This window comes from Homo sapiens, chromosome 1, assembly GCF_000001405.40.
Source record: "Homo sapiens chromosome 1, GRCh38.p14 Primary Assembly".
Lineage (NCBI taxonomy): Eukaryota > Metazoa > Chordata > Mammalia > Primates > Hominidae > Homo > Homo sapiens.
In genome coordinates, this window is record NC_000001.11 from 1,351,003 (window position 1) to 1,377,305 (window position 26,303).

The window sequence follows — 26,303 nt, forward strand, 5'->3', positions numbered from 1 at the left end:
GGCAGGAGCGACGGGGGGAGTGAGGAGGGGGCCTGGACCGGGCAGGAGCGACGGGGGGAGTGAGGAGGGGGCCTGGACGGGGCAGGAGCGACGGGGGGAGTGAGGAGGGGGCCTGGACGGGGCAGGAGCGACGGGGGGAGTGAGGAGGGGGCCTGGACGGGGCTGGAGCGACGGGGGGAGTGAGGAGGGGGCCTGGACGGGGCAGGAGCGACGGGGGGAGTGAGGAGGGGGCCTGGACGGGGCAGGAGCGACGGGGGGAGTGAGGAGGGGGCCTGGACCGGGCAGGAGCGACGGGGGGAGTGAGGAGGGGGCCTGGACGGGGCAGGAGCGACGGGGGGAGTGAGGAGGGGGCCTGGACGGGGCAGGAGCGACGGGGGGAGTGAGGAGGGGGCCTGGACGGGGCAGGAGCGACGGGGGGAGTGAGGAGGGGGCCTGGACGGGGCTGGAGCGATGGGGAAGAGAGTGCGGTGGGGTCCCTTGGTTCCCGTCCCCAGGAAGCCGGCGAGATGGAACTGGCATCTATCGGGCCCTGACCGTGCTGGGGGCTGCACCGGCTCGGAAAGAAACCGATCAGTGCAGGCACCAGTGCTTGACGGTCAGCTTGGGCCTGGGATCCTGACCCTGCACCCGGGCTCTGAGAGGGAGAACTGTGGCGTTTGCTCAGCCAAGCCCGGACAGCTTAGCCGCCAGCCCCCTCCACCTTCCCGCAGCCCTTCTCTTCCCCAGAGGTCAGAAGCCAGGCAGGAAGACCTAAGAGGGGCTATCTGTTGAGGCCCCAGGGAGGGAGGAAGCCTGTCCCTGCCCTGAGGGCCTGACCCCAGGCTAGGTCTCAAGAGAGGCTGGAAGCCAGAGGCCTGAGGCCAGTCCCGTTGCTGACGCGGATGTGGTCCAGCTGGGGCCCTGACAGGTGTGGCCACTGGTGAGGCCAGAGGTAACCGGGCTGGGAGGGGGGTGCATCTTCAAGCCACACCTCCCCAGACCAGCCTCCCTCCCTCCCCATCCATGCTTGTGTGGGGTCCTTGTGGGCAACTGTCACCCTTTCCCACCCCCACTGTCCTGGGAGGACTGGAGGATGGGGTTGGGTGGTGACGCCAGCTTCAAGAAGCAGCAGTTAGTCGCTGGTCTGTGCTGCCAGGACCCCGGGCCACGGGCCTTCCTGCTCCCGCCACTCCTCCCACCGCCTGAACTTGTGCTGAGATCCTGCACCCAACCAGCTGATGCCTGAGCGGGAAAGGATTCTAGGGCCAGATCCGTGCTGGCCTGGCCAAGACTCTTGGAACCACCCTGCTGTCCCGGGCTGTCTCTGCTGGAGCCTCTTTGCTCCCGCCCCCTTTGCAAGTGTCTGACCCGCATCCCACTACTCCCGCTCCTCGTCCCTCTGCCTCTCCAAGAGCTGTGCTCCCACGGCCTTCCCTCTGGCCTCACAGCCACCACCACGTCCCCCCTCCTCACGTCCAGGTCAGCCCTCAAGGGAATCTGAACTCCTCCACGACCAGAAGCCACACAGAACTAGCTCAAAGGTCCCCTTCCCAGGACACCGACTCCCAGAGGACCCAGACCCAGACCTTTCAGCCCAAGGAATGGGATGATGTCAGGGGTTCCAGGTGGAGACGAGGACTCCCAGGCCCAGACTCATGCCTTGCCCAGCCCCAGGAGACGGAGTTTCAGAAGCATACCTGGGACAAGTCTAAAAATCAGATGGGGACTTTATTGTGATGGTGGCAGGTCCACCAGCAGATGCAAATGTGGGGTGCTGAGAGTGGCAACACAGGCCACCCCAAACCAACTTCACTCCCTCCCCTGTCCTCAGCCAGTACAGAAGCCAAATGTAGCCCCAGCCCTAGACTCCAGCCCAGGCAGAGTCCAAGGGAGGGGTGTCAGGGTCAGAAGTCACAGGGAGCCCAGTGACTATCAAGGTGGCTGAGAGCAAGGCTAGGGTAGGGATGGGGCAGAGAAAGGGCAAGGGGTGCAGCCCCAGGTGGCCCAAAGCAACACAGAGGAGCAAGGGCTGGCATTCAAGTCAGCAGGTCCCTGGGGAGAACAGATGGTGCCTGGAGTCCCACATGGTGGTACAGGTGGGGGAGCTCTCGGTGGCAGGCAGCACCCCAGGAGGAGTGGGACTCCTGCCGAGGCTGACCCCAACTTCAAGGCTGCCAAGTTCTGATGGGAGTGTCCTCCTCCAGGAACATCTCCCAGCCCCCGACGAGCAGAGCCCTGGAGGAGTGGGACTCCTGCCCTGAGGCTGACCCCAGTTTTGGGGCTGCCAGGTTCTGATGGGAGTGTCCTCCAGGAATGTCTTCAGGCCCCCAGCGGGCAGAGCCCAGAAGGGTCTGAGGGCATGATGGGCATCAGTGGGATTTTGGTTGTGCCAGGGGTGGGCAGGGCCACCCGTGAGCAAAGGCCGCAGGGGTGGGGGCTATGCTGCCACCAAGCCCCTGGGAGAGGGGTGTGGAGGCGGCCTCTGCATACGCCCAGGCCAAATTCCAGGAAAGCGGGACCAGCCGCTGGAAGGGGGGTGAGCCCCGGAGCATCAGGAGATGCCCCGAGGAGCACAGACAGGAGAGGTGCAGCTGCTGGCCCAGCCAGGAGCCCAGGGCCTCCCTATTTGCAGTTCTCCTTCCGGAACCCTGGAAGCCAAGGGCGCCAACGGGTTGGCGGCTGTCCTCCACCCTCATCACAGTGGGAGACACAGGGCAGACCCCCCCGCAGGACTCCCCAGGGATTTCTGAGCCTGAGGTGGCAGGGGCCCCGGGCCTGGCTGGTGCCTGCCATCGTTGGTCCCAGGTGAGGTGGAATGGGGACAGGCAGGGCTCTGAGATGGGCTGAGGTCGCCCCCGCCGCTCACCTTTGTCTAGGTCGATGTACTTGGCAGGCAGGGGGCTGTGGGCCAGCTCCGCCCTCTCCTTCAGGATGTTGTTTTTGTAATCTGTGGGAGGAGAGGAGGCTGAGGTCCCCGCTCCCAGGATGCACTTCCCAGCCCGGGACTGGGAGCCGCGCCTGTGCCCTCGTGTCCCAGCACTGCCTCACCTAGCTGGATGTCCTCACTCCTGTAAAGCATCTGGTCCCCTGCAGCCACAGCGAACTCCGCCAAGTTAACATCCTTCCTGGATGGCGAGGGTGGGAGGAGGTTACAGCTGGGTGGGGTGAAGGGGGCCCTGGTCCCCAGGAGGGCCGGGAGGGGGGCACTCACCCCTTTGACTTTCCCGACTTCTGGTCCGAGTATTCGTAGCCTGGGAAGGAGACTCACATTGGGGGCAGTGCCGCCCCTTCCGCAGGTCCCCCAGCCCAGAGGACCACCCTCCCGCCCACCTCAGTCTCCTGGGGCCGCTGGCTTTGCCGGGGCAGCCTCACCTCCGCGGCGCCTGCGGGCGGCCAGGAGGACAGTGACCAGTAGCAGGATGAAGAGCAGCAGCGTGGCCAGCACGTAGCCCAGCTGCTGGAAGAAGTGGGCTCGGCTCTCGGGGACGATGACATTGATGACGTTGTGGCCGCGCGCCAGTGTGGGGTCTGCGGGGAACGCGGGGTCGGGGCGGCGTCAGGTACCAGCAAGACCTGCGCCCCGACCCGGGCCACGGCCCCCGCTGGGATCCGCGGGCCTCGGGCAAGGGACAGCGGGCGCAGAGCAACCCCCGGTGGGGTGGGCTCCCGCCTTCCCGGGTCCCAGGGAGGCCTCCTTCACCTGGGCCTGGGGCGCCGCTGTGGCTGGAGCCGTTGCCCGGAGAGCCCCGGGGGGGCGGCTCCGCGTGGGGTTCGGCGACCGTCAGGTGGAAGACGCGGCGTTCGTGCAGGCCACAGTAATGGTGGTGCAGGTGGCAGGAGTAGGTGCCCTCGTCGGCGACCTCCAGCGGCTCGATACGCAGTGAGAAGTCACCGCGCTCAAAGGCATCCGCGCCCACAGCCACGCGGTCGCGCAGAAAAAGGGGCCCGTAGGCGCGGCGCTCGCCCGACGCGTAGAGGTCCAGCAGGCGGTCCGCGCGGTCGTGCGGGACCCCGGGCGGCTGCCGGTCCCAGTGCACCACCTGTTGAGCCTCCTCCACGTGCCGGTCGGTCCACACGTGCCCGCGGTTCACGCAGGTCAGAAGCGCGGGTGCGCCGCGCGCCACCGCCAGCACCTCCTTCTCGCCGTCCCAGTAGGCGGGGGTGGCCGGGGCTGCGGAGGGGGCGCGGTCAGCGGCGCGCGGGCCGGGGCGGCGGTCGAGGGTCGAGGGGCGGGAGCTGGGGGGCGGGGGGGAAGCACTCACGGCCGTCGGTGACCTCCAGGCGGACGGCCAGGCTCTCGTAGAGGTGGCAGTAGTGATGGTGCAGGTTGCAGGTGTACAGCCCCGCGTCCGTCTCCTCCACCGCTGCGCACCCAGGAGGAAGCCGCGCGTGAGCCTTGCGGTGCCCCCGACCCCGCGGCCCCGGACCCCTGCCCCGACCCCGCGGCCCCGGTCCCCGGTCCCCGCACCGCGGATGAGCAGCGAGAAGTTGCCGTCGTCGAAGGCCGAGGCCGAGAGCTCCAGGCGGCCGCGGTCCCGCGCCTCGTACACGCGCTGCTCGCCCGCCGAGTACAAGTCCAGCAGGCGCCGCGCGGGGCCACCCCCGGGGCCGCGCAGGTCCCAGTGGAGCACGCGCTGGCGGTCGTGCAGCCGGTCCTGGGTCCACACCATGCGCGGGCTCTGGCAGCGCAGCACCGCCCGGGCGCCCGCCTCCCAGCTCACCGCGGACTCGGACACCACGGAGCTGCCAGCAGCGGCGGGTACCGAGGACCCTGGTGGGGGAGGGGAGTCGGTGGGGGAAGGGGTGGGCCCCCTAGGGCCCTGGTTGGGGGAGTCAGTGGGGGAGGGGCAGGGCCCTGGTGGGGGAGGGATGTCTGTAAGGGACGGGCAGGACCAGAGGGCCCTGGTGGTGGAGGGGAAGTCCGTGGGGTGGGGCAGACCCCCGAGGGCCTGGATAGGGGAGGGGGAGTCACTGGGGGAGGGGCGGACCCTGATGGTCCTGATGGGGGAGGGTGAATCAGTGGGGGAGGGGCGGGCTCTGAGGACCCTGGTGGAGGAGGAGGAGTAACTGGGGGAGGGGTGTGCCCCAAGGACTCTGGCGGGGTTGGGGGCATCTTTGGGGGGGTGTGGGCCCCTGAGGCCCCTCGTGGTGGGGGAGATTCCATGGGGGAGGGGCATGCCCCCTAGGGCCCATGTGGGGGAAGGGGAATCATTGGGGGAGTGGTGGACCCCCGAGGGCCCTGGCAGGGGAGGGGGAGTCCATGGGGGAGGGCAAGTCAGTCGGGGAGACATGGGGCCCAAGGACCCTAGTGGGGGATGGGGAGTCCATGGGGGAGTGGTGGGCCCCGAGGGCCCTGGTGGGGAAGGGGACTCAGTAGGGGAGGGGCAGACCCCGAAGGCCCTGGTTGGGGAAGGGGAGTCAGTGGGGGCATCTGTGGGGGAGGGGTGGGCCCCCGAGGGCCCTGGTGGGTGTGCGGGAGTCTGTGGGGGAGGGCCAGGCCCCCAAGGGCCCTGGTAGGGGAAGAGGAGTCATTGGGGGAGGGGGAGTTATTGGCAAGGGGAGGTGCCCAAGGGTCCTGATGAGCAAGGGGGAATCAGTGGGGGAGGGGCAGGGCCTGAGGACCCCCGGGGGCTGGGCCTGGCAAGATAGGAGGGGCTGAGGGGGAGTGGGGGTGGGCAGCTGGGGCTGGGGTCACTAACCTGAGTGCAGGAGAACAGCAGAGCCTGGAAGGAGAGGAGTGAGCTGGAGAGGCCACCCACAGCCCCACCCAGCCCCGAGACCCCCCACTTGGCCCCCAGAGTCCCTCCTGTAGTCCCAAAGTGGATGCTGTGACACCCACTTCAGTGCAGGGAGGACGCCTCTCACACAGACCTACATAGCCCTCCCTGCCACCGTGCTGGGCTTTGGATGGCACCTGCCCTTGAGTGGGGAAGCCAGGGCATGGGCGTGGGCCAGGGCCAGGCTCCAAGCCAGCCGGTTCTGGGGTGTGTGCTTGTCACCGGGGCCACTCCACCTGGCTGCACCCAAGTCACCCAGAGCACCAAGGAGGCTGGATCTGTGGGTTCCCCCACGCTCCCTCCAGGGCTGTGCCCCAGCCCCCGAGGGTCCTTGGACCCTCAGACGCTGGGGACCCCACACCACACCTAAGGCTCAGCGCAGCCCCTGAGGTGCTTCCGCAGGGCAGAGGCCTGAAGGCTGAATGTGGGTCGTGACCCCGGCTGCCGCCCCACAGGCCCGCGTTGCTGCTTGAGGGACTCTCATTGTCGTAGGCCGCCTCGGCATCCACTCTGAATCTAGGCTGGACTTTCTCTGACCGGAAGCGGGGCTGCCACCCGGGACAGTTTCCAATTCACATCCCCCGTCCTCGAGCTGATCCACCCAGACGCCCGCCCTACGCACTGTCCCCTGGTGACCACCCCCTGTGTCCCCACAGACCCCACGCCCCACATGGACTGTGCAGCTGCACCACGGAGTCCCCCCACAGTCAGCGTGGCCCCACGGGGCTCGTGCCGCTTGCCTTAAACCCACCAGTTAAAACTCCCCCACCAGGCATGGTGGCTCACGCCTGTAATCCCAGCACTTTGGGAGGCCAAGGCAGGTGGATCACCTGAGGTCAGGAATTCAAGACCAGCCTGGCCAATATGAAAAACCCCATCTGTACTAAAAATACAAAAAATTAGCCGGACGGGGTGGTAGTGGGCGCCTATAGTCCCAGCTACTTGGGAGGCCGAGGCAAGAAAATGACTTGAACCCGGGAGGTGGAGGTTGCAGTGAGCCGAGATCACGCCACTGCACTGCAGCCTCCTTGGCGAGAGAGAAACTGCCTCCAAAAAAATTCCCTGAGGGAAACCTGTATGCAGAACGCCCTGATCCCAATAAAGGGTTGGCCTGGGGGTCCCTGTCTCTCTCCACTTTCCCTGGCCTCCCAGCAGTCTGTGCACCCCAGGGCCCGTGGGTGATAAAAGCTGTTTCTATCCTGTGTCTCTAGATCACTGGGGGCTGCTCTCCCTCACATAGATCCTATGTGAAAACTGCCCCAGAGATGTGGCCGAGAGCCTGGGAGCTTCCCAGAGGAATGTGCCCGGTCAGCAGCCAGCCCAGGCCTGGGAGCGGGGGCTGGAACAGACCCCACAGTTCTCAGGTCCCCTTCAATCACTGACCCACTCCCTAAACAGAGCCCCAGCAAGAGGGGCTGCAGGAGGGGCCCCGAGGGAGACGCCGCCGTGCCTGGGCCCCCAGCCCTTCTTGGCCCTCTGGGCTTCAACTCCCTAGGAGGGGAGGCTGGCCAAAGTCTAACTGAAGACGTCACAGCCTCTGGCAAGCGGCTCTCCCGAGCGCCCCCAGACCCGTCCTCTTCCCTGGTGGGACCTTCCCACTCCTCCTGGCCCAAGCTCAGATGGGCGGTTTTGTCCGAAACGGACTCGCACAGCCCCACGTGCCACCCCCCACCCGCCTCCCAGGGCCCCACACTCACTCTGCAGAAGCACAAGTTTCCAAAGCAGGATTCGGGATGGCAGCGCCATGGCCCCCGCCCAGCCCCAGGCTTTGTCCCACTCGGCTCTAAGTCTCTCTCCAGAAAAACAGCCCTACCCCCTCCCCCTCCTTAGCACCCGCGGTGACATCACGGAGGCCTGGGCCTGTCTACGGTCTGGGGACCGCCCCCTCTGGCTCCTGCCGGGCCCCTTGGCCTCCCCCATCGTTGCTGGCCTGCTGGGGAGGGGCAGTGTGGGAGCAGAGGCCCAGCCCCTCACCGGTCAGGCCTGGGGAGGGGTGGTGACCGCACCCTTGGAGGGACAAGAAGGTCCGAGGACATGGGCCCCTGATACCACGTGATCGTGTCTCACGTCTAGGAGCCTCCCGGGCCTGTGGTGAAGGGTTGGGACTGTTGGGTGAGTGGCCCCTCCGCCCCACCTCTGGCCTCCCCCCACGTGAGCCACCTCAGGGCAGGGTCCTCCCCTCAGTCTGCTCCAGGCCCCAGAAAGGCCTCCCAGCGCTGAGACCGCCCCCACCCACGGTGCACGCTGGTGCTCTCCTTCAGACCAGATGGCCCTTCCAGCTCCAACCCTTGGCCCTGCATGACCTTGGTACCCGTCTCCTCTGGGGGCCACGGTGGGCTCCCTTGGGCCAGGATGATGGACGCTGCCAGTCACTAGTCCCCTTTACAACCTGGAGAGTCAGCCAGGGACAGGGGACCCTGAGCACTGGGAGGCCTGGGGGTGCTGGGGTGAGCAGACCTCTCCCTGCTGGCCCCGTCCCCTGGGGCTGCCCGCCTTTAGGGTGCAGCCTGGTGTCCCTGAAACCAGGTGCTGGATTACAAGCCTCCTGGAGAAAGGGGAGAGTGGGACCCCTGCCATGGAAGGCACAAATTTGAAACTGTGGGAAAACTTACAAAGTCACATAAACAAATGCGAAATAACAGCCTGCACTGTGTAGCAAACCCAACTCCTTCTAATCAAGCAAACCTCAAGAAAAAACAATCTGAACAACCACAACCACTAGAAACCCTCAGTGCATAGTTCCGCCCGCCCACTTGGAGTGAGCTCTCCTTACAGGCCCCGAGGGCCCCAGCTGGGTGGGGGGCTCACCCCTGAACCCTGCTCTGGTGCCCAAGTCCTCAGACAGTGGGAAGCCCAGTGCAGATCAGAGTGGTGGTCTCAGGGCGAGGGGAGGGGAACCTGCGGCTGCTCCAGTGAGAGGAACGGGCAGGACACGGACCGGCGTAAGGACAGAAGACCCCACCCCACCCCAGCCCGGTCAGACCCATTTCCTCAGCAGGGTCCTGGCCCGGGCGGCGACCTTTCCAAACTGGCTTCAGGGCTGAACACATCCCGCCACCCCCACTCCCTCCCTGGGCCTTTCATTCTGGAAAAACAAGCCCCACCTGGCTGGCCTCGAGGCCTCTGCTGGCCTCTCCTCCTGTTTTTCCAACTGGTTTGTATTAGTGCTGGCAGCTGCCCGCCCGCCCATGTCTGTCTCCGTCGCACACTCTGGGGCCTTGGCCTCTGCAGTCTCTGTCTCCTTCCGTCACTCTCCCTGTTCCCTCTCTCCCCATGGAGGGAGGACGGACAGCAGTTTGGTGGGGGGACAGGGTTGGCCCTCGGGTCTGGGAGGGCCCGGCTCTGGGTGCAGGGCTGAGAGGGGCGCCTGGTCCGCACGACAGCCTCAGGCCAGGGCTCGCCTCACTCTGCAGGGCCGTCCCTCTCCGGGCAGTGGCCTCCAGCCACACTTTCGGGGACCCAGCCAGCGGAGATGCAGGCCAGAGGCTGTCGTCTGAGAGGGCCCTGACCTCTGAGAGGGCCACCTGGGGGCAGCTGACCCCCATGGGGCCCTGGGCAAGGAACAAAAGGCTGATGAGGCCATCAGGCCCCTTCCCTGACCCTCCCTGTCCGGCCCTCAGTGGGAAACAGCCACAGAGAAGAGCAGGCCTGGTAGTGACCAGGTCACCTGCTCCTCCCAGGGCCAGTGACCTGTGCCTCTTCTGCACCTTCCTGGGCTGGGACTGTGGAGCCTCTGCTCGCTGGGGGGTGGTCTGCAGAGCTGTGGGTGTGTGACTTAATTCCCAGCCTGGCCTGGCATTTTTCTCCCTCTGGGAAGAGGACAAACCAGGACAAAGCCACTGGCATCACTGTGCTCTGGCTAAGCCCCCAGCCAAACCAGCGCCCTGGACCGTCCTCCTAGCCCCACCTCTGGGGGTTGGGGTGGAGCAAGAGGGGTCAGCTGGCCCCACGGCCCGCACTGAGGATCTGATCTTGGCTGCCATTCCTGGTGACTCGGACATTCCAGGCAGCCCGTCTCATTGGGAAGAAAAACCACAGGCACTCAGAGCCACAAGCAGCACAGCCAAGCCCATATTCACTCCCATGAGTGTGCACAGACACATGCACACACACACAAAGACACACATGGAGACACACAGAGATACACACGCATGCACACGAAGACACATGGAGACACAGACACGCATGCACATGAAGACACGGAGACACACAGAGATACACGGAAACACAGACACATGCACACACGCGAAGACACAGACACATACACATGCATGCACATGAAGACACGGAGACACAGATACATGGAAACACGAACACAGACATGCGCACACACGACACACATGGAGACACGCATGCATGCACATGAAGACACACGGACACACAGAGAAGATACACGGAAACACAAACACACAGACACAGGTCCACACACAGAAACAGAGACACACACAGACACACATGGAAAGACACACACAGAGACACGGACCTGTGGCCGCACAGCGGATCATCGATGGCTGAAGAGTCCCACTTCCTGTCGTTCAGAAGCGTTTGCTGACCACCTCCTGGGTGCCAGGCTTGCTGGGCACTGGGGACTCAGCACTAAGCCGGGTGCCAGCCATGGCCCTCTTGGACCCCAGCCTCCTGGACTGTGCTGCATGTGGTGGAGGGAATGAGACAGGGGTCGGGGGGCGCCCAGGCTGGAGGGGCGAGGACGGACGGACCCAAGGAAGCAACCTCTGTGACAGCAAATGCCAGGCGAGGCCTGAGGACGCGGCTTCCAGGCGCAGCCAGTGGCGGGGCTGCCAGGAGTGGTCTTGGGACGCCAGGGACCCTGTGTGTGTGGTAGGGGGGCCACTGCTGACACCAACACAGACAGGGTTAGGCTCGAGGACAAACCGTATTCGCCGCCGCCGCACCTGCCACGCACATCGGAAGCGTTAGCACAGTTTTCCCTGCGTGGGGCTGGGTCTCCTACCCAGGCTGAGTTTCTCCCCTCTAAGAGGAAACACCGCCAGCCTTCTTTCTCCTACGGCCTTTGGATTCTGAAAACTCGCTGTGGGGAGGGACGTGAGGCTTCGGCACCAGGAACCCCTGCGGGCTAAGACGGTGTTGGCCAATCACATCCAGTCACTCTCCTGGGAAAGTCACTTTTATGGAGACAGCCCCCCAAGGGGGTCTCAAGATATATTGAAGTTTTGGTTAGTTATGTATGCTGACTAAATTTACAAGTAAACTTGTTTATCAAAAACAAAAGAAAATGTGTTAATCCGTTATAGCCGCTTGTGGCGACTGTTCCCGGCCATGTCCCTGGCTGACTGTTTTCCTGCTGATCCTGACCAGCGTCCCCGGCAGCCATGGCCTGCATTCGTGTTGGTCCCTCCTCCTGCAGCCCCGAGGAGGCAGGGCTGTCTGTGGATCCCAGATCGGTTGTCGGAAGGCCCGGAAGAGGAGAGCTGCCCTCCACCACCACTGTCTCCTCCTCCTGGACAACAGAGTCAGGACACTGCTGAGATGGGGTGAAGCATAATTGTTGCACTGAGACTCAAAACTACAGGCAAGAAGGTTTGAAAATACAGAAACATTTCACAAATCATCTGCCTCCTCTCGAGTAGTATCTGGCTTGTTCTAAACATGCAAATGCAGTGAGACGGGCTGCCTGGTACACACACATCGCCCCGGAATCATGACCTTAGGCCCCAGGGCCACCTTCTGTAATTTTTTTTTTTTAAGCCACAAAGTCTCGGCCAGGCAAGATGGTTCACGCCTGTAATCCCAGCACTTTGGGAGGCCAAGGTGGGCAGATCACCTGAGGTCAGGAGTTCAAGACCATCCTGGCCAACATGGTGAAACCCTGTCTCTACTAAAAATACAAAAAATTAGCCAGGCGTGGTGGCAGGTGCCTGTAGTCCCAGCTACTTGGGAGGCTGAGGCAAGAGAATTACTTGAACCCGGGAGGTGGAGGTTGCAGTGAGCCGAGATCGTGCCGTTGCATTCCAGCCTGGGAAACAGAGTGAGACTCCATCTCAAAAAAAAAAAAAAAAAAAAGGGTTGGGCGCGGTGGCTCACATCGGTAATCCCAGCACCTTGGGAGGCCGAGGTGGGTGGATCACAAGGTCAAGAGATGGAGACCATCCTGGCCAACATGGTGAAACCCCGTCTCTACTAAAAATACAAAAAATTAGCCAGGCGTGGTGGCAGGTGCCTGTAGTTCCAGCTACTTGGGAGGCTGAGGCAGGAGAATCACTTGAACCTGGGGGATGGAGGTTGCAGTCAGCCGAGATTGCACCACTGCACTCCAGCCTGGTGATAGGGCGAGACTCCGTCTCAAAAAAAAAAAAAGAAAGGAGTGAAACCCCATCTCTACTAAAAATACAAAAATTATCCGGGTGTGGTGGTGTGCACCTGTAGTCCGAGCTACTCCAAGGGCTGAGGCAGAAGAACTGCTTGAACCTGGGAGGCAAAGGTTGCAGTGAGCCGAGATTGTGCCATTGCACTCCAGCCTGGGCGACAGAGTGAGACTCGGTCTCAAAAACAAAACAAAAGGACAGGGTCTCACTGTGTCACCCAGGCTGAAGGGCAGTGGTGCAAACATCTTGGCCCACTGCAGCCTCAAATTCCTGGCCTCAAGCGATCCTCGGCCTCTCAAAGCAATGGGATTACAGGCGAGATCCATCAGTTTTTTCTTTTTTTTTTTTTGAGACAGAGTTTTGTTCTTTTGCTCAGGATGGAGAGCAGTGGTGCAATCTCAGAATCACCGCAACCTCTGCCTTCCAGTTTCAAGCTATTCTCCTGCCTCAGCCTCCCGAGTAGCTGGGATTACAGGTGCCCGCCACCACGCCTGGCTAATTTTTTTTTTTTTTTTTGAGATGGAGTCTCGATCTGTTGCCCAGGCTGGAGAGCAGTGGCGCAATCTCTGCTCACTGCAAGCTCCACCTTCTGGGTTCATGCCATTCTCCTGCCTCAGCCTCCCGAGTAGCTGGGACTACAGGCGCCCGCCACCACATCTGGCTAATTTTTTGTATTTTTTTTAGTAGAGACGGGGTTTCGCCGTGTTAGCCACGACGGTCTTGATCTCCTGACCTCATGATCCACCCGCCTCAGCCTCCCAAAGTGCTGGGATTACAAGCGTGAGCCACTGCACCCGGCTTTTTTTCTCTTTTTTTGAGATGAAGTCTCGTTCTGTCGCCCAGGCTGGAGTGCAGTGGCGCAATCTCGACTCACTGCAACCTCCGCCTCCCGGGTTCAAGCAGTTCTCCTGCCTCGGCCTCTGGAGTAGCTGGGATTACAGGTGTGCACCACCACACCCAGCTAATTTTTGTATTTTTAGTAGAGACAGGGTTTCACCATGTTGGTCAGGCTGGTCTCAAACTCCTGACCTTGTGATCCACCTGCCTCAGCCTCCCAAAGTGCTGGGATTACAGGCATGAGCCACCACGCCCGGCGAATTTTTGTATTTTTAGTACAGACGGGGTTTCAATGTGTTGGCCAGGCTAGTCTCGAACTGCTGACCTCGTGAGCCACCCACCTCGGCCTCCCAAAGTTCTGGGATTAGAGGTGTGAGACACCATGCCTGATCAATTTTAAAATCGGGAACAAAGAACACTGAGTGCTGCCAGTTACCTGCGGTGGCTCCACCTGCAGGGTCAGACTCCACCTCTGGGACTCTGCATCCGCCTCCCTTCCCGGCTGGGCACGTCTTAGGGCAGCTGTCACACCAGCCTCAGGCGAGGGCCAGGCCACGGCTGCCACATGGAATGCACATCCTGGATCCTCCGTGGTGGCTTCTCCCTCCTCACCAAGGGAGGTCGGCTGTTACATGTAACATTTCTACCTTGGTTATAATTACAAATTTGATGTACGCAATTATGATAGAAAAATCGGCTGGGTGCGGTGGCTCACTCCTATAATCCCAGCACTTTGGGAGGTGGAGGCAGGAGGTTTAAGCCCAGGATTATGGAGACCAGGCGGGACAATATAGCAAGACCCAGTCAAAAATAAAAAAATAAGGCCAGGCTCACCCCTATAATCCCAGCATTTTGGGAGGCCAAGGCAGGCAAATCACCTGAGGTCAGGAGTTCGAGACCAGTCTGGCCAACATGGTGAAACCCCCATCTCTACTAAAAATACAAAAATTAGCTGGGGATGGTGGCATATGCCTGTAATCCCACCTATTCAAGAGACTGAGGCAGGATAATCTCTTGAACCTAGGAGGCAGAGGTTGCAGTGAGCCAAGATCACACCACTGCACTCTAGCCTGGGTGACAGAGTGAGACTCTATATTAAAAAAAAAAAAGCCAGGCGTGGTGGCTCACCCCTGTAATCCCAGCACTTTGGGACACTGAGTGGGGGCGGATTACCTGAGGTCGAGAGTTCAAGACCAGCCTGGCCAACATGGAGAAATCCCATCTAAAAATACAAAAATTAGCCGGGTATGGTGGTGCACGCCTGTAATCCCAGCTACTCGGGAGGCTGAGGCAGGAGAATCGCTTGAACCTGGGAGATGGAGGTTGAGGTGAGCCAAGATTGCAGCATTGCACTCCAGCCTGGGGAACAAGAGTGAAACTCTGTCTCAAAAACAAAATAAAAAACAAAAATAAGGCTGGGCATGGTGGCTCATGCCTGTAATCCTACCACTTTGGGAGGCTGAGGTGGGCAGATGACCTGAGGTCGGGAGTTCAAGACCAGCCTGACCAACATGGAGAAACCCCAGCTCTACTAAAAATACAAAATTAGCCGGGCATGGTGGTGGGCACCTGAACTCCCAGCTACTCTGGAGGCTGAGGCAGGAGAATCACTTGAACCCAGGGGGCGGAGGTTGCGATGAGCTGAGATCGTGCCATTGTATTCAGCCTGGGCAACAAGAGCAAAACTCCCTCTCAAAAATAAATAAATAAATAAAAATAAAAATAAAAAAATTAGCTGGGCATGATGGTGCACGCCTGAAGTCCCAGCTACTCTGGAGGCTGAGGCAGGAGAATCGCCTGAACCCAGGAGGCAGAGGTTGCAGTGAGCTGAGATTGCACCATTGCACTCCAGCCTGGGTGACAAAGCAAGACTTTGTCTCAAAAAAAATAAATAAAAATAAAAATTAGGCCAGGTGTAGTGGTGCACACTTGTGATCCCAGCTAGGAAAGGCTGTGACAGGATGGCCTGAGCCTGGGAGGGGAGGACGAGTATGAGCGTGAGAATGATTGTGAAAGGATGACTATAAATTGAGTGTGAATTAGTGAATTGGTGAGTGTGAAGTAGTGCAGATGGGTGTGAATTCGTGAGACTGTGTGTGAATGAGTGTGGATGGGTGTGAACTGGTGATTGTGCATTTGTGAATTGGTGTGAATTGTGTGGTGTGGATGAGTGTAAACGGGTGTGTAAATTAGTGAATTGGTGAGTGTGAAGTGGTGTGGATGAGTGGATGGATGTGAATGGGTGAGAGAATGAATGAGTGGATGAGTGTGAACTGATGAGTGTGAATGGGCGAGTGTGAATGTGTGAATGGGCGAGTGTGAATGTAAATGAGTGTGAATGGATTGGTGTGCGTGAATGAGTGTGAACGAATGTGGATTGGTGTGTGTAAATGGGTGTGTGAATGTGTGAATGGGTGTGAATGAGTGGATTGGTGTGAATGGGTGAATGACTGGATTGGTGACTGTGAATGTGAATAAATGTGAATGAGTGTGATTGAATGAGTGTGAATTAGGGTGAATGGGCGAGTGTGAATGTGTGAATGAGTGGATTAGTGTGGATGGGTGTGAAAGGGTGAGTGAGTGAATTGATTAGTGAGGATTGGTGAGTGTGAATGTGGGTGAGTGTGGATGGGTGTGAAGGAATATGAATTAGTGTGAGAACGAGTGTGAAATGAGTGTAAATGAGTGGGAATTAGTGAATTGGTGTGAAGTGTGGATGAGTGTGGATGGGTGTTAATTGGTGAGTGTGAATGTGTGGATGGGTGAATTAAATTGGTGAGTGTAAATTGGTGTGTGTAGTGTGAATAAGCGTGTGGATGAGAGTAAACAGGTGACTGAGTGAATTGGTGTGAAGTAGTGTGGATGAGTGTTAATTGGTGACTGTGTTAAAGCGTGGGTGTGAATTGGTGTCTGAATGGATTGGTGAGTGTGAATTGGTGAGTTGGTGTGAATTGGTGAGTGTGAATTGGTGAGTGAATTGGTGAGTTGGTGTGAATTGAATTGTGTGAATGAGTGGATTGGTGAGTGAATTGGTGAGTTGAATTGGTGTGTGTAGTGGATGAGTGTGGATGAATGTGAATTGGCGAGTATGGATGTGTGAATTGGTGAGTGTGAATGTGTGGATTGGTGAGTGAATTGGTGAGTTGAATTGGTGTGTGTAGTGTGGATGAGTGTGAATTGGCGAGTGTGGATGAGTGTGAATTGGTGAGTGTGTGAATGTGGATTGGTGAGTGAACTGGTGAGTTGAATTGGTGTGTGTAGTGTGGATGAGTGTGGATGTGTGGATGAGTGTGAATTGGTGACTGTTGAGTGTGGATGTGTGAATTGGTGAGAGTGAATGTGTGAATTGGTGAGTGTGAATGTGTGGATTGGTGTGTGTAGTGCGAATGAGTGGATGAGTGAATTGGTGACTGTGTGGATGAGTGTGAATTGGTTGTGGATGTGTGAATTGAGTGAATTGGTGAGTTGAATTGTGTGTAGTGTGAATGAGTGGATGAGTGTGAATTGGTGACTGTTAGAGCGTGGATGAGTGTGACTTGGTGTATGAATGAGTGTGGATTGGCGAGTGTGAATGAGTGTGGATTGGTGAGTGAATTGGTGAGTTGAACTGGTGTGTGTAGTGTGGATGAGTGTGAATTGGTGAATGTCGATAGGTGTGAATTGTTGAGTGAGTGTATGAATGAGTGTGGATGGGTGTGGATTGGCACGTATGAATTGGTGAATGTGAACTGGTGAGTGTGAATTAGTGTAAATTCAGTTCAGTGGATCAGGAGCAACTTATTTTTTATTTATTTTTTGAGACGGGGTCTCACTCTGTCCCCCAGGCTGGAGTGCAGTGGCACCATCTCGGCTCACTGCAAGCTCCGCCTCCTGGGTTCACACCATTCTCCTGCCTCAGCCTCCCGAGTAGCTGGGACTACAGGCGCCTGCGACCACGCCTGGCTAATTTTTTGTATTTTTGGTAGAGATGGGGTTTCACCGTGTTAGGCAGGATGGTCTCGATCTCCTGACCTCATGATCCGCCCACCTCTGTGCCCCAAAGTACTAGGATTACCGGCGTGAGCCACCACGCCCGGTCTTTTTCATTTTTATTTTTGAGACAGTCTCACTCTGTTGCCCAGGCTGGAGTGCAGTGGTGCGATCTTGGCTCACTGCAGGTCAACCTCCCAGGCTCAAGTGATCCTCCTACCTCAGCCTTCTGAGTAGCTGGGACCATAGGTGGGCACAACCACACCTGGCTTTTTTTTTTTTTTTTTTTTTTTTTTTTTTTTTGTAGAGATGGGGTCTTGCTCCATTGCCTAGGCTGGCTTTGACCTACCAGGCTCAAGTAATGCACCTGTTTCAGCCTCCTGAAGTGCGGGATTACAGGCAGGAAGGTGCAGCAAGACTAGAATAGGCAATATCTCAGTTTATTGTACTTATGAGAGATACTATTCTGTACAACTTTCAATGGTGGGTGTGTTCATCAGATAGCGGTGTAAAAAGATATTTCTTATTTTGTATCTTGATCAAAAAAGTCTGAAAGTAGGCTGGGTGTGGTATCTCACACCTATAATCCCAACACTTTGGGAGGCCAAGGCAGGAGGATCATTTGAGGCCAGGAGTTTGAGACCAGGCTGGGCAACTTAGTGAGACTCCATCTCTGCTGGAAAAAAACATTAGCTGGGCCTGGTGGTGTATGCCTGTAGCCCCAGCTACTTGGGAGGCTGGCTTGAGCCCAGGAGTTACAGGCTGCAGTGAGCTATAATGGCACCACTGCACTGCAGCCTGGGCGACAGAGGGAGACCCTGCCTCTTAAAAAATAAAAATAGGTCTGGCTGGGCGTGGTGGCTCACGCCTGTAATCCCAGCACTTTGGGAGGCCGAGGCGGGCAGATCACCTGAGGTCAGGCATTTGAGACCAGCCTGGCCAACATGGTGAAACCCTGTCTCTAATAAAAACACAAAAATTAGCCGGGCGTGGTGGTGCATGCCTGTAGTCCCAGCTAGCAGGGAGGCTGAGGCAGGAGAATTGCTTGAACCTGGGAGGTGGAGGTTGCAGTGAGCTGAAATCGCGCCACCGCACTCCAGTCTCGGGACAGAGTGAGATACTGTCTCAAAAAAAAAAAAAAAAAGGTCTGAAAGTCACCAACTTTAAAACATGGTACTACCGCAAGAATCATTTAAAAGGACTAAAATTGCCTCTGGGAAAGGTGGTGTGGGGATGGGGGAAGAGATACTGTTTTCCTTTATTTTTGAGATGGAGTCTCACTCTATCCCTCAGGCTGGACTGCAGTGGTGCGATCTCGGCTCACTGCAAGCACCACCTCCCGGGTTCACGCCATTCTCATGCCTCAGCCTCCCGAGTAGCTGGGACTACAGCCGCCCATCACACCTGGCTAGTTTTTTGTATTTTTAGTAGAGATGGGGTTTCACCATGTTGTCCAGGATGGTCTCGATCTCCTGACCTCAGGTGATCCACCCACCTCGGCCTCCCAAAGTGCTGGGATTACAGGCGTGAGCCACCGCACCCAGCCAACTGTTTTTCTTAAAGGAATCTTTTTTCTTTTTGGAGACAGGGTCTCGCTCTGTCACCCAGGCTGGAGGGCACTAGCACAACGGCAGCTCACCGCAGCCTCGAACTCCTGGGTTCATGCATCCTGTCACCTCGGCCTCTGGAGTAGCTGGGACTACAGGTACACACCACCATGCCCAGCTGATTTTTTATTTTGTAAAGACAGGGTTTCACTATGTTGCCCAGGCTGCTCTTGGAGTCCTGGCTTCATGCGATGCTCCCAGCTCCCAAAGTGCTGGGATGACAGGCGTGAGCCACTGCGCCTGCTGGTGACTTCTTAAACAATTAAACTAGCCACGTACAAGCATAACTTTTTTTTTTTTTGAGACGAAGTCTTGCTCTGTCGCCCAGGCTGGAGTGCAGTGGCATGATCTCAGCTCACTGCAAGCTCCACCTCCAGGTTCACGCCATTCTCCTGCCTCAGCCTCCCGAGTAGCTGGGACTACAGGCGCCTGCGACCATGCCTGGCTAATTTTTTGTATTTTTAGTAGAGACGGGGTTTCACCATGTTAGCCAGGATGGTCTCGATGTCCTGACCTCGTGATCCGCCCGCCTCCGCCTCCCAAAGTTCTGGGATTACAGGCGACAGCCACCGCGCCTGGCCCACAAGCATAACTTTTATAAAAATAATTTACTTTTACAATTAAGCTTAGGAATCACACAGACTCAGGGCTGGCTCATGGCTTCCCGGCAAGTTAAACTCTGTACTTAGGCTCGGCGCGTATGAAATGGCTAATTCTAATCAGTGGTGCAATGAAGTAACTCCTCTAAAGAACTTATCGGGCCGGGCGCAGCGGCTCACGCCTGTAATCCCAGCACTGTGGGAGACCGAGGCGGGCAGATCACGAGGTCAGGAGTTCGAGACCAGCCTAACCAACATGGTGAAACTCCATCTCTACTAAAAATACAAACATTAGCTGGGCACAGTGGCACACACTTGTAGTCCAAGCTGCTCAGGAGGCTGAGGCAGGAGAATCGCTTGAGCCTGGGAGGTGGAGACTGCAGTGAGCCGAGATTGCACCACTGCACTTCAGCCTGGCGACAGAGAAAGACTCCATCTCAAAAAAAAAAAAAAAAAAGTAGTAACCTAAGAATGAGAGAAACATGGCATTCAGAAACAGGACCCAGACTCCTCCAGCCTGAAATAGGAATGTTCTTTCCCCCCTCCCAGTGCCCTTCCCGGGAGGCTCGGGGGGTCCAGCCCAGGGAAGCCAGCTTTCCTCCCAGACTCCACTCCACGCCGAGGGTCTCTGTTGCCACCGCCAACCTGCGTGCTTCTCAGACGGCGTGTTCAGTGAGTGCTCAGCTCGGCTCCCTGGAGGTTCTGGGCTTGGCACACACGTGTGCTGCCTCCCTGCCCCCCAACACACACACATCTGAAGCAGGCAGGGCCCTGGGTGGGCACCGGGGGTGGGAGCTGAGGGCCTTGCCCATGGTCCATGAAAGCTCTGAAGCCATAGCTCTGCGGCTGGTCAGGCCCCAGGCCCCAGGCTCGGCCCCCGCGGAAGGCGCAGAAGACACCAGCTTGCCAGGGACGCAGCAGCCAGAGGAAGAGGCGTGGGGCTGAGTTCACCAACGTGCCCCATTATGGAGGCCACTGATGAATGCCACCACTGGGCGTGAGGTTGGGGCACCATCCCCACTGACCAGGACCATCCCCAGCAGAGCCAAGTCCTGGTTGGAACTGGAGCTCTGAACACCACCAGGACACGCTGTGGTGAGGGGCAGGTCGCTGGCAGCTCCACAGGCCCCCAGCCCAGCCCACCCCACCTCTGGCCCCTCACCCAGGTGATGCCCAGGGCCAGAACAGGGGAGAGGCAACAGAGAGAGGGGGGTGCATGTCTCACAGGCAGGGGCAGGGTGGAGGCCCCACAGAGAAGAGGGGAGGGACGGCCTCTTGTGGCCTGGGAGCAACCGCAGAGATAAAAATAAAACCCCAAAATTGCTTCCCAAGGTTGTGGTTGGGCAACAAAGGCTTCCAAGCCAAGGCAGGGTGAGCTCTGCAGGCTGGGCAGGATGTGGGTCTGCAGGAGGGGCCTGGGTTGCGGGAGCTGGAGTGGACAGCTGAGGCACCGCCTCGCCGGGATGGTGACGTCTGGAGCAGGGGTACCCACCGCTGCTGACGTGAGCTGATGGGTTCGTCGTGGGGATGTCCTCATGGTGCAGGGTGTGTGGCAGCATCCCTGGCCTCCACCCACCCATGCCAGTAGCACCTCCCACTGACAACCACAGATGTCTCCAGATGCGGCTCAAAGCCATGGTTGACCTGCCTCCCAGGAGCACCCCAAGCCGGCCCCCACGCAGGGGTGGAGGAGGCCGGGGCCAAGGGGGGTCCCAGGGCTGTGCCTGAGCTGGGTAGGGCTGCTCCCCACCACGGGCTGCCCAGCTGAGCTCTGCAGGCTAGGACTCTGGACAGGTCCACTCAGCTTCCCACATCTCCTCCCTCATACAGGGAAGGGGGAGGTGAGCCCGGGATGGAAGGAAACGCGGGGGGGCAGCAGCACTACAGAGGGTGCCAGTGGTGGCCAAGAGCACCGGGAGGCTGGGGCAGGGCCAGGCTTGGCACTGAGCGGGCTCCACTTCACCTGGGAGAGTTTCGGCCCTGGGAGCCCTGCCCCACTCACAGCTGGGAAAACAGACCCAGGAATGATGCCTGTGACCCCAGCTGGGGCCCCACAAGACGCTTCCTGCCACCTGTCCTGGTCCCCAGCCCTGGACCCAGGAGCCCGGCTGCTGCCCCCCTGTGGTGGTCTGGGGAAGCGCACTTCCACCCGCTACAGCCTCCAGACCCCTCCGTGCACTCAGGGACCCACAGCCAAGGCCTACTGACCTCGCTGGCTGGCACGTCCAGGGCCCAACTCCCAGGACAATGTGTGACCCACAAGTTCGTCCTGTTCTAGAGAAACTGCTGGGAATAGCGCTCAAGTCCTCCCCAAGGTCTGATGGGCAAGGAACTCAAGCTTGAGTCTCAGACACATTTCTGTGACAAAAGACAAGAGGCCCCCACGTCTCTGGTGAGAGGCAGCCCAGCCTTCAGCCTTCACACACGGTGGGGGAGAGGCTGCGGCTCCAGAGCCTCCACTCAACCGCCTGGGGCGGACGCAAAGGCCCCTCTCCTGTCGCTGAGCTGTTGGGGGCAGCAGCTTCCCAGTGCCCACCCATGCCCTGCTACCCAAGTCCAAGGGCCCCTGCACATCCCTGCTCTTAGGAATACCATGTTCCAGCCAGGCGCAGGGGCTCACGCCTGTAATCCCAGCACTTTGGGAGGCTGAGGCGGGCAGATCACTTGAGGTCAGGAAATCGAGACCATCCTGGCCAACATGGTGAAACCCTGTCTCTAACAAAAATACAAAAATTAGCCGGGCTTGGTGGCGGGCACCTGTAATCCCAGCTATTCAGGAGGCTGAGGCAGGAGAGTCACTGGAACCTGGGAGGGAGAGGCTGCAGTGAGCTGAGATCGCACCACTGCACTCCAGCCTGGGTGATGGAATGAGACTCTTCCTCAAAAAAAAAGGGGGGGGGAATAATGCGTTCCTCCTCTTCACCCAGAGGAACGTGGAGACACCAGGGGCCTCTGGCTCAACCTAAGCCTCAGGGATTCTTCGGCCCTGTAAACGAGACCCTTTCCTCAGCCACCCCCCAGCCCCGAACCCCTTCTGGGACAACTCTTCCTGCTTAGTCCCCACGTCCACTCAGGGCCCCAGGAGATGGCAGACATGCCTGGGAAGGCCAACACCCTGGCCCTGTAGCCGGAAAGCTTGGAGGGCCACTGGAGGATCACGTCCACGGAGCCTGGCGGGCACCATCCACCACTGCCAGTGGTACCAGAACCTTTCCTGCCTTCCCAATGAGGCCCTCCCCGACCCTCCACTCATGAAATACACCTGAATCACCCCGTGCATTCCGGGTGCTCCCTAAACCCCAGTCCTGTCCCCCTGTACTTCTGCCATCCGGGTCGGCCTCCCCAGGGAATGTGGTGCTCAGGGAGGGGCTGTGGGATCTGTTCACAGTGATCCCACAGCACCTAGCCTGAACTGCACACAGCACACATTTGCTCACAGCGAGGCTGGGGCTCCTACAGGCCCAGCACCCTCTGGACGGCGGCCAAGAGCCAGCTAGAGAGAGGGACGGCCAATCTGCCACCCTGCTGCCCGGGTCTTCTGCAACACCTGGGACTGGCAGCAGCCTCAATCCTGAGAGACCTCACACCCGGCAAATGGAGCTCCAGACCCGCAGGAAAGGCTGAGTCCTCTGAGAATTTATTACTACGGATCACAGCAGCAACGGGCGGGAAGGGCGGCGCCAGACTCATTTGCCCCGCAGGTAGATCTTGGGGGTCTGCCAGCCTTCGGGGGCTTCCTTTAGCCCCGCCTTCAGCCAGATGCGCCTCAGGTCTTTCTCGAACTTGATCTGCAAGACGCAGAGAGAGGGACCGCCAAGTAATTCGTGGCAAAGAAACGTGTTCTCAGCACTTTGCCCTCCCAGGGCCAAGCAGGGGGCCACTCACCTGCTTGCGTCTCAGGCGTCCCTCCTGGACCTTCCTCCGCAGGAACCGCGTCTTCTTCACCAGCTTCCGGTACTTGTGGTGGTTCATCTTCCGCCGGCGGATCTTCAGCACGTTTTTGCACTGAATTTGAGGCGCATCCGCGACGCCTTCATCCCCCTGCTCGGCCCCTTCCCCTATCTGGCTGGGCGGACACTGGTAGGATTGCGGTGGAGCCACAGTCCCTGCGGTCCCGGTATCCAGTCTGGGCAGGAAGCAGCGGGCCGTGAGCCAGCTCTCCAGGGGGCTGACGGACATCTTCCTGGGGACCAGCATCTCCTCCAGCTCCAGCTGGGCCCCCTTGCGAGGGAGAGAGGCCGCCCTACCTGGGCCGGCCGGCGATGTGCTGTAAAGGGGCCCGCAGACCCGGCTGCCCAGCACTCCAGAGACGGGCCAAGGCGGGCGGCCGCCTGCAGAAAACCAGACGCCACGGTCACCGCTCGCGAGACCACACAGGCCCGTCGGGTTGAGGAGCAGCAGGTTCGTCCCAGCGAGGATCCCCCGCACCTCATTCCTGGCCTGAACCCCTGAGGTTCCCTCTGTGAGCATCGGAAGCTTAGAGGGGAAAGAGTGTGTGTGTGGCCACCGGCCCTGCCCCAGCGGAGCTGCTGAGACCCGCACTCCTAACCAGGTGTGCATCCTCCCATCCGCCCCCGCGCGGCTTCCTACCTGCCCAAGGAACGGCCCTCAACAGCTGGGAAGTCAGGCGCCCCAGGAGCATGGTCTGTGGGCGGCGGCCACAGGTCCCAGGGGAGCTGGAACACAAGTGCCCGTTCAGGTCAGGCGGCAGCGCCTTCAGTAGTCGCGGGCGGGCCGGGACTGGGGCGTCTGGTCCCGCCGCGACCCTCGCTTCCCTTCTCCCTCCGCCACCCCAACCCACAAGGAGGACTTTGCTTCCAACACAGCTCGCGCCCCGAGGCTCCCAAGCCCCCGACGCGGGCGGTGTCGCGCTCGGACGCACCGAAAGGTCCCAGAACGGGGAGGCCGGCCCCCTCCCCGGGTTCACCCCCGCGCGAATCGCGTTGCCTGGCGCCCGGACCCTCTCGGCTGGACCCCGGGCCCGCCTGCCGCAGCGCCCGGCGCCCTCAGGCCTCCCGCTGACCCTTCCCAAGCCCGACCTCGACGCGGCTCAAATTGACCGTTCTGCGGCCGCCCTCGGGCACTTCCGGTCCGTCCCCAAGTCGGCCCCGATCGGCAGCGGCCACCCGGCGGTTCCTACGCACAGCGCCCGCTGGCGTCCTCGCGGCCCCCGATTCTGCATTGGCTCAGGCCCCGCCGGGCCCGAAAGGCGACGGTTTCCGGTTAGTGGAATCACGGTCCCAGTCCTCGCGCGGTTCCTCAGCTCCGCCTGGTCCCTTACGGAGGCAAAAAACTACATTTCCCACAATCCCAGGGGGTGCGGGCCCTGGATATACCCGCAGGTCCAGAATCGTTTCCGGACCACCCAGGGGCCGGATTCCCAACGGGCCGACGGAAGTGCGGGCTCAAGACTACGGAAGTGACGTATCTGGCAACGGAAGTGGAGTTACGTGGAAGGCGGAAGCGTCTAGAGCTATTTCCCCCGTTTTTGCTAGAGACCAAGGACCCGGAATAAGCACTGAGCCTGCGGTACCGGGCCTCCCCGACTCCTCATTCCTGGGGTTAAAAAAAAAAAAATAAGACGCAGGCTGGGCGCGGTGGCTCAGGCCTGTAATCCCAGCACTTTGGGAGGCCGAGGCTGGTGGATCACCTGAGGTCAGGAGTTCGAGACCAGCATGGCCAACATGGTGAAACCCCGTCTCTACTAAAACTACAAAAATTAGCCTAGCGTGGTGGCAGGCGCCTGTAATCCCAGCTACTCGGGAGGCTGAGGCAAGAGAATCGCTTGCGCCCAGGAGGCAGAGGTTGCGGTGAGCCGAGATCGCACCACTGCACTCCAGTCTGGGTGACATAGATCCTGTCTCAAAAAAATAAATAAATAAATAAAATAAAAATCAGACTCACACTTTTTGTCTGAGAACTAAAAGCAGCCTCTCTGGTGGATTGGGTTTGGCTGAGCCCCTAATGATGCTCCCCAGAGTAGGCGCTGCCAACGTGTAGCTTCACCTTTCTACTCCAGACAGGCCCCTTTGACCTCCGTGAGGTTGGCTAATATAGAGACCCCAGCATGGACTTGCAGGGGCGCCTGGTGGGAGAGGGGTGTGGAGCAGAGCCTGCTGGGCCTGCTCGGAGACTTGCCTTGCAGGAGGGTCTTCCAGGGACGCTTAGCAGGAAGTGGAAAGGCCAGGTCATCTGCCGGGCCCAGCCTGGCTAAGCAGTGAGTGACAGGTAGGATAGGCCAGTGTGAGGACATAAAGTTCAGGCTCCAGGCCCACCTCTACAACTGAGGTCCCCAGATGACTCTACGTTACCCCTCAGAGGGGCTACTTGGGACTCCAAGCAGGAAGGTTTACGAACGTTATTTGCGGGCCCGCCCTTCACCCCTGCTGCACAGCTTCCCCTAGTGGATTTGGCCGTAAATGAGCAGACTGGTGCCTCCAGAGCAGCCCTCACCTTGGTGCCCCTGTGTTTGTCTTCACCCGGCTGGGGTCCAGGGAGATGCAAAGAATCCATCAGAGAACAGGTGAGCATGTTGAGAAGAACCAGAGAACCAGAAATAACCTGGGCTGGCAACCTTGGCCTTCAGGCTTCTGAGGCATTGACGTGCAGATATAAGTACCTCCCCTGAGTTAGGGACTGGTAGAAGAAACGGGATGTGGACATTTCAGTCTGAGAAAGTCTTGAGGAGCAGGATGAACCAGGGTGTCCTTCCCCCTCTCAGGAAGTAATTTCAGGGAGGTGAAGTGAGGAAGACCACTCTGTTGGGGTCCCTGTACCCAATAGGCTCCAGGCCAAAAGGGAAAGGTCCCAGCTAGAGCAGGACCCAGCTGCTACAAGGCTGGGGAATTATCATTCAGCTACAGGAGCTGCATGGAGCCGGCCCGGGAGGCTTGCAGACAGTGGCCACCCCGATGAATGCCCGGGCCAGACCTGACTGGCTGCCGCCCACAGGAGTGGCAGGAACACTTGTTGGAAGCGCCAGATGCTTGTGTGAGCAGAGCTGCCAAGCTAGATGAGCTGGAACTAGACTAGGAAGATCAATCCTTTACAAACATCTGAGGAAGAAAAAATGCAGTGGAAGAATCGGGGAGGGTGCATGGGTTATGATTCCTAATTTTTAAACAAAGGAACTCTAGTCTCTCAAGGGAAGTACACAGTTGCTGCACATACCTGTTTTCCCCAAAATACCCA

General features: G+C 59.2%; 2 protein-coding genes across 10 annotated transcripts, besides 12 other annotated features; both read right to left on the reverse strand.

Annotated features, from left to right (window-relative positions):
• Nucleotides 1,687–12,539, reverse strand: MXRA8 (matrix remodeling associated 8). 7 transcript variants are annotated; one of them, NM_001282582.2, is made up of 11 exons: nt 12,515–12,539; nt 7,454–7,545; nt 5,679–5,702; nt 4,448–4,750; nt 4,242–4,343; nt 3,680–4,150; nt 3,352–3,507; nt 3,191–3,230; nt 3,028–3,104; nt 2,846–2,926; nt 1,689–2,627 (listed from the first exon to the last, which is right to left on the reverse strand). In NM_001282582.2, the coding sequence occupies exons 2-11, from the start codon at nt 7,500–7,502 to the stop codon at nt 2,602–2,604; spliced, it is 1,329 nt and encodes a 442-aa protein (NP_001269511.1). In that variant the 5' UTR covers nt 7,503–7,545; nt 12,515–12,539; the 3' UTR covers nt 1,689–2,601.
• Nucleotides 2,495–3,126: an enhancer, noted in NCBI's record as "H3K27ac-H3K4me1 hESC enhancer chr1:1288877-1289508 (GRCh37/hg19 assembly coordinates)". NCBI's record gives its function as "activates a minimal SCP1, AML or CMV promoter by ChIP-STARR-seq in naive H9 embryonic stem cells {active_cell/tissue: H9 hESC(naive)}" and the evidence as "EXISTENCE:reporter gene assay evidence [ECO:0000049][PMID:30033119]".
• Nucleotides 3,127–3,758: an enhancer, noted in NCBI's record as "H3K27ac-H3K4me1 hESC enhancer chr1:1289509-1290140 (GRCh37/hg19 assembly coordinates)". NCBI's record gives its function as "activates a minimal SCP1, AML or CMV promoter by ChIP-STARR-seq in naive H9 embryonic stem cells {active_cell/tissue: H9 hESC(naive)}" and the evidence as "EXISTENCE:reporter gene assay evidence [ECO:0000049][PMID:30033119]".
• Nucleotides 3,759–4,389: an enhancer, noted in NCBI's record as "H3K27ac-H3K4me1 hESC enhancer chr1:1290141-1290771 (GRCh37/hg19 assembly coordinates)". NCBI's record gives its function as "activates a minimal SCP1, AML or CMV promoter by ChIP-STARR-seq in naive H9 embryonic stem cells {active_cell/tissue: H9 hESC(naive)}" and the evidence as "EXISTENCE:reporter gene assay evidence [ECO:0000049][PMID:30033119]".
• Nucleotides 5,514–6,066: an enhancer, noted in NCBI's record as "H3K27ac-H3K4me1 hESC enhancer chr1:1291896-1292448 (GRCh37/hg19 assembly coordinates)". NCBI's record gives its function as "activates a minimal SCP1, AML or CMV promoter by ChIP-STARR-seq in naive H9 embryonic stem cells {active_cell/tissue: H9 hESC(naive)}" and the evidence as "EXISTENCE:reporter gene assay evidence [ECO:0000049][PMID:30033119]".
• Nucleotides 6,654–7,236: an enhancer, noted in NCBI's record as "H3K27ac-H3K4me1 hESC enhancer chr1:1293036-1293618 (GRCh37/hg19 assembly coordinates)". NCBI's record gives its function as "activates a minimal SCP1, AML or CMV promoter by ChIP-STARR-seq in primed H9 embryonic stem cells {active_cell/tissue: H9 hESC(primed)}" and the evidence as "EXISTENCE:reporter gene assay evidence [ECO:0000049][PMID:30033119]".
• Nucleotides 7,567–7,686: a silencer, noted in NCBI's record as "silent region_65". NCBI's record gives its function as "represses an Ori minimal core promoter by ATAC-STARR-seq in GM12878 lymphoblastoid cells {active_cell/tissue: GM12878}" and the evidence as "EXISTENCE:reporter gene assay evidence [ECO:0000049][PMID:35858748]".
• Nucleotides 20,759–20,808: a silencer, noted in NCBI's record as "silent region_66". NCBI's record gives its function as "represses an Ori minimal core promoter by ATAC-STARR-seq in GM12878 lymphoblastoid cells {active_cell/tissue: GM12878}" and the evidence as "EXISTENCE:reporter gene assay evidence [ECO:0000049][PMID:35858748]".
• Nucleotides 20,936–21,703: an enhancer, noted in NCBI's record as "H3K27ac-H3K4me1 hESC enhancer chr1:1307318-1308085 (GRCh37/hg19 assembly coordinates)". NCBI's record gives its function as "activates a minimal SCP1, AML or CMV promoter by ChIP-STARR-seq in primed H9 embryonic stem cells {active_cell/tissue: H9 hESC(primed)}" and the evidence as "EXISTENCE:reporter gene assay evidence [ECO:0000049][PMID:30033119]".
• Nucleotides 21,067–21,361: a silencer, noted in NCBI's record as "tiled region #3626; HepG2 Repressive DNase matched - State 12:CtcfO". NCBI's record gives its function as "represses a minimal TATA promoter and a strong SV40 promoter by Sharpr-MPRA in HepG2 cells {active_cell/tissue: HepG2}" and the evidence as "EXISTENCE:reporter gene assay evidence [ECO:0000049][PMID:27701403]".
• On the reverse strand, nt 22,734–24,205 carry AURKAIP1 (aurora kinase A interacting protein 1). 3 transcript variants are annotated; one of them, NM_017900.3, is made up of 4 exons: nt 24,152–24,205; nt 23,703–23,788; nt 22,998–23,443; nt 22,734–22,900 (listed from the first exon to the last, which is right to left on the reverse strand). In NM_017900.3, exons 2-4 carry the CDS (start codon nt 23,752–23,754, stop codon nt 22,799–22,801), a joined length of 600 nt encoding a protein of 199 aa, NP_060370.1. In that variant the 5' UTR covers nt 23,755–23,788; nt 24,152–24,205; the 3' UTR covers nt 22,734–22,798. The 3 variants fall into 3 exon arrangements, with proteins under 3 accessions (NP_060370.1, NP_001120702.1, NP_001120701.1); NM_001127230.2 differs by having other exon boundaries at nt 24,073–24,205; NM_001127229.2 differs by having other exon boundaries at nt 23,995–24,205.
• Nucleotides 23,946–23,995: a silencer, noted in NCBI's record as "silent region_67". NCBI's record gives its function as "represses an Ori minimal core promoter by ATAC-STARR-seq in GM12878 lymphoblastoid cells {active_cell/tissue: GM12878}" and the evidence as "EXISTENCE:reporter gene assay evidence [ECO:0000049][PMID:35858748]".
• Nucleotides 23,991–24,896: an enhancer, noted in NCBI's record as "NANOG-H3K27ac-H3K4me1 hESC enhancer chr1:1310373-1311278 (GRCh37/hg19 assembly coordinates)". NCBI's record gives its function as "activates a minimal SCP1, AML or CMV promoter by ChIP-STARR-seq in primed H9 embryonic stem cells {active_cell/tissue: H9 hESC(primed)}" and the evidence as "EXISTENCE:reporter gene assay evidence [ECO:0000049][PMID:30033119]".
• Nucleotides 24,016–24,195: a silencer, noted in NCBI's record as "silent region_68". NCBI's record gives its function as "represses an Ori minimal core promoter by ATAC-STARR-seq in GM12878 lymphoblastoid cells {active_cell/tissue: GM12878}" and the evidence as "EXISTENCE:reporter gene assay evidence [ECO:0000049][PMID:35858748]".

Coding starts and splice junctions, on each gene's coding strand:
- AURKAIP1 (NM_017900.3), bottom strand. CDS start 23,754: ATGCTCCTGGGGCGCCTGACTTCCCAGCTGTTGAGGGCCGTTCCTTGG. Junction 23,444..23,702: donor GAGGGCCGTTCCTTGGGCAG/GTAGGAAGCCGC, acceptor GGTTTTCTGCAG/GCGGCCGCCCGCCTTGGCCC. Junction 22,901..22,997: donor GACGCCTGAGACGCAAGCAG/GTGAGTGGCCCC, acceptor TGCGTCTTGCAG/ATCAAGTTCGAGAAAGACCT.
- MXRA8 (XM_017001516.3), bottom strand. CDS start 7,502: ATGGCGCTGCCATCCCGAATCCTGCTTTGGAAACTTGTGCTTCTGCAG. Junction 4,751..5,678: donor TGCTGTTCTCCTGCACTCAG/GTTAGTGACCCC, acceptor CTCCCCCACCAG/GGTCCTCGGTACCCGCCGCT. Junction 4,344..4,447: donor CTTCTCGCTGCTCATCCGCG/GTGCGGGGACCG, acceptor CTGGGTGCGCAG/CGGTGGAGGAGACGGACGCG.